Source organism: Homo sapiens, chromosome 20 (assembly GCF_000001405.40).
Source record: "Homo sapiens chromosome 20, GRCh38.p14 Primary Assembly".
NCBI lineage: Eukaryota > Metazoa > Chordata > Mammalia > Primates > Hominidae > Homo > Homo sapiens.
The window spans coordinates 5,099,546-5,114,524 of NC_000020.11; the positions used below are offsets into that span (position 1 = coordinate 5,099,546).

At 43.6% G+C, this 14,979-nt stretch overlaps 1 protein-coding gene across 14 annotated transcripts in view, besides 1 other annotated feature; it reads right to left on the reverse strand.

Moving 5' to 3' along the window:
* TMEM230 (transmembrane protein 230) overlaps window positions 1-13,531 on the reverse strand; it is a 53,961-nt gene extending 40,430 nt beyond the window's left edge. For 3 of the 14 annotated variants that reach the window (XR_002958479.2, XR_002958478.2, NM_001330987.2), the window contains exons 1-3: window positions 13,416-13,531; window positions 9,787-9,900; window positions 6,643-6,765 (exon numbers count right to left, since the gene is read on the reverse strand). Coding sequence is in view for 9 of the 14 variants with exons in the window: in NM_001330987.2 (NP_001317916.1) it covers window positions 6,643-6,765; window positions 9,787-9,885 (222 nt within the window). In the remaining 5 variants the exon portion in view is untranslated. Of the gene's footprint in view, window positions 1-304; window positions 1,387-6,642; window positions 6,766-9,786; window positions 9,901-11,954; window positions 12,061-12,218; window positions 12,264-13,174 lie in introns of those variants that run through there. The other 11 variants (XR_007067454.1, XR_002958476.2, NM_001423980.1 and 8 more) reach the window with 10 other exon arrangements.
* Window positions 13,247-13,306: an enhancer, noted in NCBI's record as "active region_17510". NCBI's record gives its function as "activates an Ori minimal core promoter by ATAC-STARR-seq in GM12878 lymphoblastoid cells {active_cell/tissue: GM12878}" and the evidence as "EXISTENCE:reporter gene assay evidence [ECO:0000049][PMID:35858748]".

Genomic DNA, 14,979 nt, shown 5'->3' on the forward strand with positions numbered 1-14,979 from the left:
CCAAATGCTGACTCCCAAATTTCTATTTCCATCCAAGACCCACTCTTAAACTCTAGACACACACATGCATCGCAACTGCCTCCTCAACAGCTCCACTTGGATATTGAGTAGACATCTAAAACTTGCTCTTCCCACAGCCTTGCAACTCAGCTGATGGCATGTCCAGGCTTCCAGTTGCCCAAGTCCATAACCTCAGAGTTAGGGAAAGTTGAGTGTGACCCACAATGCCAGCTACCTAGAAACTAAGGTAGATCTAGGTACTGGGATTAAAGATATCATAAAATCATTAAAATGTTTTCTGAAATGTTTGAAGTTAACTCATTTTATTTCTAGGATTTGGATTTCAACATTTTAATTTCTTTGGAATATAAGTCACTTTTTGCAAGCTAAAAAATAGAATCAAACTAAGGTGATCTAGTCCTCTAGGCATCCAGGCTGATCCTTGGAATCATGAGCAGAATGATGACATACTACAAGGTGCTAGCAATACGGCTATAAACTCTAAATAATAACCACTACATGTTTCATTAGGAAACAGCCAAAAGTCCGGCCGTTAAAGGAATAATCTGCAGAACATCTTGATTTACAAGGGACAAAATGATGCAAATTATATGCTGTCCAACCTACTGGTGAACTGGATCAGAATGGTCCAAGGACTGTTAAACAGAGGAAGTATTTACATTTTGAAAACTTGCTCTGCAGGATAAAAAAATTCCTGGTTGCTGTCAGTAAGAAAGCAAGTAAAAAAAATATTACAGATGAACTCACTGATCTTTGATTTTACTAAGGTCTTCCACTGGAACATGAAGGTAGGGATAAGTGTACAGGATAATATACTCAGATATTTTTAAAATAAATTACTTAATAATAAGAAATTAGCCATACCACATTGTTCCATTTGCTACAAGAACAAATTGGCAATGAAGACTATTTAAAAGAAATGCTCAGCTCTACAGAGGGTGGTGGCAGGCAACACTTTTCCATTACAGAATAACCTCTATTCTTCCATGATACATATTCCTGTGGAAAAACTTGTCAGGGCCCAGGGATGAAAAATAGAGCTTGTCCTAATTAGCTAACTGTAGGTTCACTTAACATCTTTGGGAAGGACCCAAAAAATCTGGCCATTATTTTCTTAAACATCTGCAAGCTGCAGAATTCCTTAGTCCTCAGCTATAGTTTCTGCTAGATATCTTAAAGCTGGGACAGTTCCACTGTGACTCCTCCTCAGCTATGGGGTGGGTGCTAGTCATCAAAGTCTGGAATGTCATCATAGGAGTAACCACGGTAGCCTTTGGATGCATAGTAAGCGATGCGCAGGTGGTAAAATCCGGGTAGGAACACCAGAATGCCAATGATCAGCACTGGAACGGCCCGGTCTGCCCCCTGGTGGCAGAAGGAGGCAAACACATTAGTACCGTAAGAGTTACACATTTTAAAATAAAACGTCACAGACCTAATCCTTAGATCAGTATTTTATACTCTTCAGTACTTTTTCTTTGAGTTGTATACCACCAAGGGAAAAGGTTTCCTCCTGATTATAAATTGAAGACAAACTACAAAATATTAACAATTATAAAGAAAAAAATGACCCATTCTCATCCAGATATTTTGGCTTCTTTTCCTTTTTTTAAAGCTCTTAGTTGTGAACACACCATACTCTGTGTCCTGTGGCCAATATTATTAAAACCTTTTCATACATTTAAACTGTAAGGATGTGTAACATTCCACCGAAATGGACATACTACAGTTTTACCTAACTGCCCCACATACAGCTGCTGGACACTTTGGTTGTTTTTCACCTTTTGTAATTGTACAGATACCACTACAATAAACTCTGTGTTTTTCTCAGCCTTTCAGGTTTTCTTTTCTTTCTCTTTTTTCTTTTTTTTTGAGGTAAGAGTCTTGCTCTGTTGCTCGGGCTGGAGTACAGTGGTGTGATTACAGCTCACTGCAACCTCGACTTCCCAGGCTCAAGTGATCCTCCCACCTCAGCCTCCAAGTAGCTGGAGTTACAGGTGTCAGTCACCATACCTGGCTCATTTTGTACATTTGTTTGTTTGGTAGAGATGAGGTCTCGCTATGTTGCCCAGGCTGGTCTCGAACTCTGGGGCTCAAGCAATCCTCCTGCCTCAGCCTCCCAAAATGCTAGAATTATAGGCTTGAGCCACTGCACCTGGCTGGCTGTGTTCCCTGTTGTGTGTTAATTATAGTCAGAATTGGTTCAAGACAACTTGGACACTGTGTATGTGGGGACAGCCCATGAGAAAGAACCACCAACTACTTTAGGTTTCTAAGGTTTCATATTGAAGCTCAACAGGAACTCCAACCAAACCTACTGTAAGAAGGAACTGACTTACGAGGCACAGTGACCCCACACATATAACAGAATTGCTATTTCTCTCCAAATACTGACAGTATGTCCATGGCACTGCACAGCTACAATGACAGCATGCTGCTCCAGCTACAGCCCTTTACCAATCAGGACTCCTGTATGCCAGGCTCAGCCATGTTGTTCCAAACTATGACAGGGCAAACTGTCTAATATCTCAGAGGCCAAGTTTGCCTACCTGCCACCACCTCCCCTATAGGAACTATGGAAGTTTACTGTTGCTCAAAGGAAGAAAAACATGTTTTGCCAACAGAGAACAAAATGTAAAAGAAAATCTTTTTGGTTTTTCTGCTGGAATCTGCTGTACCAGACATGAATATAAAAACAAAGATTGAACAATGAAAAAAATCTAAAACCTGAATAGACAAAGAGTAATGAGATTAAGGCCATAATAAAAAGTCTCTTAGCAGAGAGAAGCCTGGGACTAGATGGTTTCGCTGCTGAATTATACCAGTTAAAGAATTAATACTTGGCTGGGCATGGTGGTTCACTCCTGTAATCCCAGCACTTTGGGAGGCCAAGGCAGGCAGATCGCTTGAGCTCAGGATTTCAAGACCAGCCTGGTCAACATGGTAAAATCCTGTCTTGACAAAAAATACAAAAATTAGATGGGCATGGTGGTATATGCCTGTGGTCCCAGTTGCTAGTGAGGCTGAGGTGGCAGGATCACATAAGCCGGGGAGGCAAAGGTTGCAGTGAGCTGAGATCGCACCACTGCACTACACCTGCATGACAGATGAGACCCTGTCTCAAAAAAAAAAAAAAAAAAAAAGAATACTAATCCTACTGAAACTATTCTGAACAGACATGGAGAGAATACTTCCAAACTGATTCTACTAGGCCAGTTTTACCCTGATACCAAAACTAGGCAAAGACACATCGAAAAAACAAAAATAGGCCAATATCCCTGATGAACATTGATGCAAAAATCCTCAATAAGGAGGATAATACTAGCAAACTGAATTCAACAATACATTAAAAAGATCATTCATCAGGACCAAGTGGGATTTATCCCAGAGAGGCAAGGATGGTTCAACTTATACAAACCAATCAATGTGATAAAATCGTATCAGCAGAATGAAGGACAAAAACCATATGATTATTTCAATCGATGCTAGAAAAGCATTTGATAAAATTCTACATCCACCGGGTGTGGTGGCTCACGCCTGTAATCCCAGTACTTTGGGAGGCTAGGGTGGGCCTCACACTGACCATAATTAACACACAACGGGAAACATAGTCAGAGGGGTGCAGTGGCTAAAGCCTGTAATTCCAGCACTTTGGGAGGCTGAGGCAGGAGGATTGCTTGAGCCTAGGAGTTTAAGACCAGCCTGGGCAACATAATGAGATCTCATCTCTACCAAACAAACAAAAAAATTAGCTAGGTATGGTGACTCACACCTGTAACTCCAGCTACTTGGGAAGCTGAGGTGGGAGGATCGACTGAGCCCTGAAGATTGAGGTTGCAGAGAGCTGTGATCACACCACTGTACTCCTGGACTGCTTGAGTCTAGGAGTTCGAGATCAGCCTGGGCAACACGGCAAAACCTCATCTATACAAAAAATGAAAAAAAAATTAACCAAGTGTGGTGGCACATGCCTGTGGTCCCAGTTATTTGGGAGGCTGAGGTTGCAGTGAGCCGAGATGGTGCCACTGCACTCCAGCCTGGATGACACAGTGAGATTCTGTCTCAAAAAAAAAAAAACAAACAAAAAAACCAAAAAACAAAAAAACATACACTGGGGAAAGAACCAGTCTTTTCAATAAATGGTATTAGGAAAACTGGATATCCATATGCTGAAGAATGAAACTAGACCCCTCAAATCTCTTGACATATACAAAAATCAAATGAGAATGGATTAAACACTTAAATGTAAGACCTAAAACTATGAAACTACTATAAGAAAACATGGGGGAAACTCTCCAGGATGCTGGACTGGGCAAAGATTTCTTGAGTAATGCCCCCAAAAGCACAAGCAACCAAAACAAAAACAGATAAATGAGATCACATCCGGTTAAAAAGCTTCTGTACAGCAAAGGAAGAGACAACCCACAGAATGGGAAAAAATATATGCAAAGTATCCATCTGACAAGGAATTAATAACCAGAATATATAAGGAGCTCAAACTCTGTAGGAAAAAAAATCTAATAATCCAATCAAAAATGGGCATTTCTCAAAAGAAGACATACAAATGGCAAATAGGTATATGAAAAGGTGCTTAACATCATTGATCAAAGAAATGCAAATCAAGACTACAATGAGATATCATCTCATCCTAGTTAAAATGGCTTTTTAAAAAATATAGACACAAGGTCTCGCTATGTTGCGCAGGCTGGTCTCGAACTCCTGGGCTCAAGTGATCCTCCTGCCTCGGCCTCCAAAAGTGCTGGGACTACAGGCGTGAGCCACTGCACCCAGCCAAAATGGCTTTTATCCAAAAAAAACGGCAATAACGAATGCTAGCGAGGACGTGGAGAAAAGGGAACCCTCGTACAATGTTGATGGGAATGTAAATTAGTATAGCCACTATGGAGAACAGTATGAAATAGAACTACCATATGATCCAGCAATCACAGCTAGGTATATACCCAAAAGAAAGGAAATCAGTTTATCAAAGAGGTATCTGCACTTCCATATTTATGACAGCACTATTCACAACAGCCAAGATCTGGAAGCAACCAAAGTGTTCTTCAACAGACAAGTGAATAAAGAAAATATGGTACATATATGCAATGGAGTACTATTCAGCCACTAAAAAGAATGAGATCCTGTCACTTGCAACAACATGGATGAAACTGGAGAACGTTATGTTAAGTGAAATTAAGCCAGGCACAGAAAGACACACTTTCCATGTTCTCACTCATTTGCGGGAACTAAAAATTAAAACAATTGAACTCATGGATATTGTAGAATGATGGTTACCAAAGGCTGGGAAAGGTAGGGGGGAATGGGGAAGGTTAACGGGTACAAAATATAGTTACATAGAATGAATAAGCTCTAGTATTTGATAGCACAAAGTGACTAGAGAATAATTTATTGTACATTTAAAAATATAATAACTAAGGCTGGACGTGGTAGCTCACGCCTGTAATCCCAGCACTTTAGGAGGCCCACGCGGGCAGGCCGCTTGAGGTCAGGAGTTCATGACCAGCCTGGCCAACATGGCAAAAACCCATCTCTACTAAAAATACAAAAATAAGCCAAGTGTGCTGGCTTGCCACCATAGTCCCAGCTAACTCAGGAGGCTGAGGCAGGAGAATCACTTGAACCCACGAGCCGGAGTTTGCAGTGAGCTGAGATCCTGCCACTGCACTCCAGCCTGGGTGACAGAACAAGACTCTGTCTCCAAAATATATATATATGTATGTATGTATGTATGTGTATATGTATATATATAACTAAAAATAGGCCAGGCACAGTGGTTCATGCCTGTAATCCCAACACTTTGGGAGGCCAGCCTGGGCAACATGGCGAAACCCCATCTCTACTAAAAATACCAACATTAGCCGGGTGCGGTGGCGCACGTCTGTAATTCCAGCTACTCGGGAGGCTGAGGCACAAGAATAGCATGAACCTGGGAGGCGGAGGTTGCAGTTAGCCGATATTATGCCACTGCACTCCAGCCTGACTCTGTCTCAAAATAAATAAATAAATAAAAGTATAATTGGAATGTAATACAAATGATGAATGCTTGAGGGGATGGATACCCCATTTAGCCTGATGTGATTATTATGAATGCATGGCTGTATCAAAATACCTCATGTATCCCCTAAGTATATACACCTACTATGTACCCATAAAAATTGGAAAAAAAATTGGCCAGGGGCAATGGTTCACACCTGCAATCCCAGCACTTTGGAAGGCTGAGGCAGGCAGACTGCTTGACCTCAGGAGTTAGAGATCAGCCTGGGCAACATAGTGAAACCCTGTCTCTACACAAAATAAAACAAACAAAAATAAGTAAATAAAAAATAAAATTAGCTGGGTGTGGTGGCACACACGTGTAGTCCCAGCTACTCGGGAGGCTGAGGTGAGAGGATCGCTTGAGCCCAGGGAGGTAAAGGTTGTGCCACTGCACTCTAGCTTGGATGACAGAGCAAGACCCTGTCTCAAAAAAAACAGACCACTGGGACGGACAAACACACACACACACACACACACACACACACACACACACACACGCACACTAGAGCCTTGGCTAACATTTTAAAAATCTCACAACTTATTCCCACATGCCCGTCAGCTTACCCCTTTGCTGATGTAGCCTGACAGCAGGAGGGAGCCTATAATAATGAGAAAGGCGCCAATCAAAAACAGCACAGTGGCAAGTGCGATGGCCTTATAAGGGATCTTAGGAGGGGTTTTCTTAAACTGGAAGAGAAATAGAGATGAAAAAGACAACGAAGAACATTAATGCAAATACCTGGGTTCAAACATTTAATTAATTATTTGTAATTTTTATGTTTTTGTTTGTTTGTTTTGAGATGGAGTTTCGTTCTTGTTGCCCAGGCTAGAGAGCAATGGCGTGATCTTGGCTCACTGCAACCTCTGCCTCCTGGATTCAAGTGATTCTCCTGTCTCAGCCTCCTGAGCAGCTGGGGTTACAGGTGCCCGCCACTACACCCAGCTAATTTTTTTGGTATTTTTAGTAGAGACAGGGTTTCACCTTGTTGACCTGGCTGGGCTTGAACTCCTGACCTCAGGTGATCCGCCCGCCTCGGCCTCCCAAAGTGCTGGCATTACAGGCGTGAGCCACCGCGCCCGGCCTAATTTTTATGATTTTAGAGACGGAGTCTTGCTCTATCACCCAGGCTGGAGTGCAGTGGTGCAATTACAGCTCATTGCAGCCTCGAACTCCTGGGCTCAAGCAATTCTCTTGCCTCATCCTCTCAAGTAGCTGGGACTACAAGTATACGTCACCATGCCCAGCTAATTTTTAAATTTTTCTGTAGAGACGAGGTCTCACTATGTTGCCCAGGGTGGTCTCCAACTCCTGGGCTCAAGGGAGTCCTTCCACCTCTGCCTCCCAAAGTGCTGGGATTACAGGTATAAGCCATCAAGCCCAGTCTCAAACACTTTAAAACAGGGAGGAGAGCTCGCACCTGTAATCCCAGCAATGTGGGAGGCTGAGGCAGGCGGATCACTTGAGTTCAGGAGTTTGAGACCAGCCTGAGCAACATGGTGAAACCTCGTCTCTACAAAAAATACAAAAATTAGCCGGGCGTGGTGGCATGTGCCTGCAGTCCCGGCTACTTGGGACGCTAAGCTGGGAGGATGGCTTGAGCCCAGGAGGTGAAGAGGCAGCGAGCTGAGATTGCACCACTGCACTCCAGCCTGGGTGACAGAGCCAGAGCCTGTTTCAAATACAACAACAGCAAAAACAGGAGGGTAATTAAGAACCAAACTAGATACTTTATGTGTCTTAAGTATGTCCTACCACCCAGTGCAGCTCTGAGAAATAAAAGGGACTGGCAAGAGATGAAGCTCTAGTTATTGCTCTCACAGTTACTCAAAGGAATCTCAGAGGAATGTCATTCACTCTAGTTCGAATCTCATTCCATAAATCATTCATTGTATCATAAGAAACTTTTCTTTAAAACAAAAACAGAAATGACTTTACAGTCATTCATTTGTTAGATATATATTTATTAACTGCCTGGCACATAGATGGCTGTACTAACTTATGGGGATTTAAGAGATCCTGTCTCTACAAAAAATTTTAAAATTAGCTGGGTGTGGTGGCACATGCTTGTGGTCCCAGCTATTCAGGAGGCTGAGGTGAAAAGACTACTTGAGCCCAGAAGGTCAAGGTTACAGTGAGTCTTGATTGTGCCACTGTACCCAAGCCTGGGCAAAAGAGCAAGACCCTGTCTCAAAAAAAAAAAAAAAAGGCTGGGCGCGGTGACTCACGCCTGTAATTCCAGCGCTTTGGGAGGCCGAAGTGGGTGAATCACTGGAGGTTAAGAGTTCGAGACCAGCCTGGCCAACATGGCGAAACCCCATCTATACTAAAAATACGAAAATTGGCCAGGCATGGTGGTGCATGCCTGTAATCCCCCAGCTACTAGGGAGGCTGAGGTACAAGAATCACTTGAACCAGGAGGGGGAGGTTGCAGTGAGCCAGGATTGCACCACTGCAGTCCAGCCTGGGCAACAGAGCAAGACTACATCTTAAAAACAAAACAAAACAAAACAAGAGGCTGGGCAAGGTGGCTCACGCCTATAATCCCAGCACTTTGCGAGGCCGAGGCAGGATGATCACCTGAGGTCAGGAGTTCAAGACCAGCCTGACCAACATGGAGAAACACTGTCTCTACTAAAAATACAAAATTAGCTGGGCGTGGTGGCGCATGCCCGTAATCCCAGCTACTTGGGAGGCTGAGGCAGGAGAATCGCTTGAACCTGGGAGGCAGAGGTTGCAGTGAGCCGAGGTTGTGCCACTGCACTCCAGCCTGGGAAACAAGACTAAAACTCCGTCTCCAAAAAAAAAAAAAAAAAAGGAAAAGAAGGCAATTTCAGCTTATTCCAAATGATTAGTTGTTTGTTCCACATAGCAAGTAAACCTGCCTTATGAACAAATTCAATTCAAGGTTAAGATTCAGAGACAAATTTTCCAAGGTTTGGCTCATCGTTGTATCTGACCTAAGTGGCTGGAAGCTTCCCAGATCTTTCCAGATCTATTTTTATCTCTCCTTCAAATGTGGGTCCAAAGAGTAATTTATTTATTTATAAAGGATGGTTTCCTGCTACTTCCTCGTTGGCCCTAGTTCCACGTAGAACATTCTATTGTAAGGGGAAGTGTGCAAAAGGAGATGCTGTAGTATTGACTAGTTTATAAATGGTTAGGGTAGGATACAAACTTAATAAATACTGTGTTTTACTTACTATTTATCACAAAGAATACCTTTAATAAATTGGATCTCATGACATCAGGAAAGAAGGAAGATTCCCACAATCTGCTGGCTTTAGTAATAAGTTTCTCCCTTAAAAGGTGAACGGGCTTTGACTAAAGTGTAAATAAACAGTGATAAAAAAAATTCCACCTAACAAAAATTTTAAAGTTCCTTAAAAAAAGAAACAACAACAAAAAACTCCACTTAACAAAACACAATCTGATTAGTTTCTGAATAAAGTAAATAAAACCTGTAACTACAAGGCTCTCGCATTACAACTAAAAATTCTTAGAAATGGACAATACTGGAATTGGTTTGAAACTACCCTGCCACGGCCCTCTTCTGCGATTATGGCTGAAAGGGTCTCAGAGCTGAGTTTTCTTCTTGTTGCTCCTTCTAATCCCCAAGGACAGTTAGCAAAATCTCCATCTGGAAGGTCTTCCTGCTAACTTAACAGAAACACAGCCAGTCAGTCTTGTCAGTTCTCTTCTGCATTTACCTGAAGGTCAATGTAGCCATCGTCTGTGCTGGAGAGCCTTGAATATTTCACTTTACTACTGGGGATTCCAGTAGCCAGGTTGGTACGGGACGGCATCATAACACGCTGACACAGCTACAGTTTAAAAACAAAAAACCCGTTATTGTCTGTAGATGACAATGGTGCATTATAGCCAATGAGTTCAGGATTATTAGATGCTGTGCACTGGAGTTCTGGGCTGCCATGTCAGACTAGCAATGGGCAATTTACACTTCACTGCTAAATTTTCATTGTGTCAGAGGCATATGCATATGGAAAACCAGATATGCCTCTGACACAGTGAAAAGATTCTCACTATGTATTAAATATCTAGTCTGGTCTGTCCTTGTAGAATGACAGTGAAGACACTCACCAAGAATCACATTCCAGTTTATTTTGCCACCAAGATTCCCTGACTTTTAATTTTTCCAAAGTCACATAGAGACTAGGTAGAATAATGGGGACTTAAATCTAGGTCCACCTGACACCACAGCATTGCCTGTCCCCTGCTCCCGCTCTTAAGAAAAAGCAAGAGGAGCATATACTCAAATGATTCTCTTGTTTGACAGGGAGGGAGAAGAGGGCAGAGAATGGAATACACTCACATCAGCATTTTGCCTATTTCCCCTTGATAGAGATCAACCTTTTAATGCAAAAGATCTGTAAAGTTTCTTGCCGTAAATTTGTGGGGTTTTTTTGTTGTTGTTGTTTGTTTGTATTTTTTGGAGACGGTGTCTTGCTTTGTCACACAGGCTAGAGTGCAGTGGGTTGATCTCAGCTCACTACAACCACCGCCTCCCAGGTTCAAACGATTCTCCTGCCTCAGCCTCCCGAGTAGTTGGGATTATAGCCATGCACCACCATGCCTAGTTAATTTTTGTATTTTTTAAGTAACGAACTGGTTTTCACCATGGTGGCCGGGCTGGTCTTGAACTCAGTTTTTTTTTTTTTCTTTGCGATAGTCTCACTTTGCTGTCCAGGATGGAGTGCAGTGGCGCAATCTCCATTCACTGCTGCCTCTGCCTCCTGGGTTCAAGCAATCCTCCTGCCTCAGCCTCCTGAGTAGCTGGGATTACAGGCGTGTGCCACCACGCCTGGCTAATTTTTGCATTTTTAGTAGAGATGGGGTTTTACCACGTTGGCCAGGCTGGTCTCGAACTTCTGACCTCAAGTGTTCTGCCCAACTCAGCCTTCCAAAGTGCTGGGATTACAGGCCACTGTGCCGGGCCCCTTGTAAATTTGGATACAGGCCTGGCTATACTAGTGCCTCCAGAAGCGCCCACCTCTCTGTCCCATCCCAAGCACTGAAAGTAGTGATTTCATTTTCCTAATTACTTCTGTACCAACCTTAAGAAACGGAATATGGTATAATATCTTACAAAAAATTTTAAAGAAAGAAAGAAAAAAATGGAATAACAACCTGGCTTCTTGTTCAAAATATTCAAAGCAGACAGCAGTAATGAAATCATGGCTATTATGTCACTAGTTTAAGAGACAGTGGGTAAGTTTGAAAAATCATAACATTTAAATTAAGACCATTTGTATTAATAGGCCGGGCGTGATAGCTCACGCCTGTAATCCCAGAACTTTGGGAGGCTGAGGTGGGTGGGTTACCTGAGGTCAGGAATTCGAGACCAGCTTGGCCAACATGGTGAAACCCCATTTCTACTAAAACTACAAAAATTAGCCAGGTGCAGTGGCACACACCTGTAATCCCAGCTATTTGGAAGGCTGAGGCACGAGAATAGCTTGAGCCTGGGAGACGGAGGTTACAGTGAGCCGAGACTGCACCACTGCACTCCAGCCTGGGCGACAGAATGAGACCCTGAGTCAAAAAAAAAAAAAGAAAATTTTTTTTTTAATTTGTCCACTTTTCCTCCATAAAGTAACAAAGCTATATGATCAAAATGGGTAAATATATTTTAGTCAGGGTTTTTAAATTCTAAATTCAAAAACATATCTTTAAAAAAGACAAAACTGACCAGGCGCAGTGGCTCACACCTGTAATCCTAGCACTTTGGGAGGCCAAGGCAGATGGATCACAAGGTCAGGAGTTCGAGACCAGCCTGGCCAATATGGGGAAACCCTGTCTCTACTAGAAATACAAAAATTAGCCGGGCATGGTGGTGGGTGCCTGTAGTCCCACCTACTCGGGAGGCTGAAGCAGAAGAATCGCTTGAAGCCAGGAGGTGGAGATTGCAGTGAGCTGAGATCACACCACTGGGCTCCAGCCTGGGCGACAGAACTAGACTCCATCTAAAAAAAAAAAAAAAAAAAAAAAAAAAAAAAAAAAAAAAATTCAGTATTTCAATAAGGGCATAAGGGCAACATAAAAAAAGGACTAGTTTTTCTCTGGGATGGCATTTTTAAAATTCATCATTATCATCATCACAATAATGGTGGTTAGTACTTACCTAGTCTTTGTTAGATGCCAGCTGTTCTAAGTACTTTGTACATACCTAATTCCAAAAAATAACAAATTGTTTTTCTTTTTTTTTGGTGTTTTCTTTTTTTTGAGACGGAGTCTCGCTCTGTCACCCAGGCTAGAGTTTAGGGACCCGATCTCAGCTCACTGCAACCTCCGCCTCCAGGGTTCAAACGATTCTCCTGCATCTGCCTCCCAAGTGGCTGGGACTACAGGAGCCTGCTACCACGCCCGGCTAATTTTTCTATTTTTAGTAGAGACGGGCTTCACCATATTGGCCAGGCTGGTCTCAAACTCCTGACCTTTTGATCCGTCCGCCTCGGCCTCCCAAAGTGCTGGGATTACAGGCGTGAGCCAGCGCGCCCGGCCTAACTGTTTTACGTGGCTTGCAGTCAATGTAAAATAACTAGCATAATTAAATAATTGGTGCTAAATATTAATATCCGTTTTTATTGATTACATCCTGGTCTAGAAATCAAGTATTTAAAAATTAGCATAATGTTAATCTCTATACTTTTCAAAAAAGATTGGATCAAACTGTGTCAAATAGTAGGTTTTTAGTGTTGTGATCCCGGCTGCATTTAATTCTATAAAACAAAGTTCAAACTACCAGTATGTGTGGTTTTTGAGGGCATTTAACCACATCTAACTTGCAATTAGACTTTTTTTTAAAGTACGTCCCCTGACATTAACTGTTCATACATCCGCATCAAAACAATACATCGCAGGGGCGTGAGGGAGAGGGGAGACGAATGTTTACTCTTGGCAAAGAGGATTCTAAAAGACGGGAAAAATAAAAACGAGCATTTTCAAAGTATCAGTCTTCGTTGCCAACAGGCTTTTTACCAGCTCACCGCTACCCCCAAACTCCCTCAGCACCTGAATGTTACGAGAGTTCTAAAAGCATCATAAAACGTTTGGCACACAGTGCCTGGCATTACGCGCCTCTACATACGTTATTCTCCTACCCGTCTTCAGACCTTGCCAGGGAGAGAAATAAGAACCGACGCGAATTTAGACGTAAAACAAACAAAACGGGCTTCTGGAAAGAGGCCAACTGTGCCAGGGGGGACGAATGCCCCACACGGATGACTCGGAGCTTGATTTCGGCGGGGAGCGCGGTCTCGGACACGCCCAGAGCCCGAGAGGACGGTTCTGTCCCCGCCCTGCCGCACACACGCCTTACCGGAGCGCCGCGCCAGGCCGCCCGCACACCCAGAGCTCGCCCACGGTTGGCAGCGCCCAAGGTTGCATGGCATGGCCCGCTTAAGTGCCACTCAGCCGGCCCCAGGCGGGATCAGTGCGCCGGAAGTGGCGTGCCGGAAACAGGCGCGTCGGAAGTTGCGTCTCCGGAAGCGTTTGTCTCTTTACCCAGCTTCCCGGGCTAACCCTTACCGAGTGTCACCTGCAGGAGGCACCGGGACTCCGGGGCTGCACGGCCCGAATGCTTCTTCGTGGGTTTTGTTTAAGCAGCCGCGACCTGTGCCTGCCGCCGGCTACCTCCGCTGTGGCGGGCGAGCACCTAGGGTCCTCACCTACCTGGGTCACAGTCAGGTCCAGGGCAAGCCGGCTACGTGGTTTCTCCCCTCCTCAGTACAGGGGCCAGGCTAGAGACCGCCGTGGCTTCCCAGGGAGGCAGAAGCCGAGTCCGTCGAGCCTCAGGACCAGCAGTCAGAGCGGCCAGATATCCGCTGCAAGGCGCCAGCCTTCCATGGGCGCGCGCCGTCAACACCCCACTACCACACTTCCCTTGAATAGCACACTTGTCTGTGCTGTCAGCACCCCACTATACTTCCCTTGAATAGCCCCACAAACTTGTGCTTATCTTTAGGGCTTGTCCAGGTAAAAGGCCTGCCCACAAGGGACATTTTGCGGCAAATGAAGCTTTTTAAAAAGTTAGGTTTATTGAAGTATTTATACACAAGTACAAATAGATGAGCTCTGAAAATACATACGGTCCTAGAACCATCACCAATCTAGATGGAAATATATCCATCACCCCAAAGTTCCATCGGGCTCTTTTGCAGCCTATTTCCTTCTCCACTCACAGGCACACTGTAGGAAAATGAACTTACTACTGGACATGGTTAATTCTCATGTCCAGTAACTAGAACTCAGTCCAAGTAATTTAAGAAAGAAATCAGTCATTTAATCTACCAAACACAAAAATGCACTGGAAAAAAGGATTATGATAAAGCAGTTTTTAAAAATGTTTTTTCTAAAGCCAAATTGAGCAGCAGGGGTTGTATACCTACTTTAGTGATACTAATGTTAGTAAGTTCTGATAACCTACTACTATTAAACCAGCCAATAATTTTTTTTGAGATGGAGTCTCACTCTGTTGACCAGGCTGGAGTGCAGTGGCATGATCTTGGCTCACTGCAACCTCCACCTCCTGGGTTTAAGTGATTCTTCTGCCTCAGCCTCCCAAGTAGCTGGGACTACAGGCATGTGCCACCATGCCTGGCTAATTTTTTTTTTGCATTTTTAGTAGAAATGGGGTTTCACCATGTTGACCAGGCTGGTCTCGAACTCCTGACTTTAGTTGATCCGCCTACCTCCCAAAGTGCTGGGATTACAGGTGTGAGGCACCGTGCCTGGCAAAAAATTCTTAATACACAGCACACAGTGAACTTGTAGCTATTAGTGGGAATGTTTTTAAGTCTTTCTTCACAACTTCAGGGCTTTTTCACTTTCTTGGTTGGATCCAACATCCGTGGAATTTAAGACATCTTCATCCTTTGAGTGAA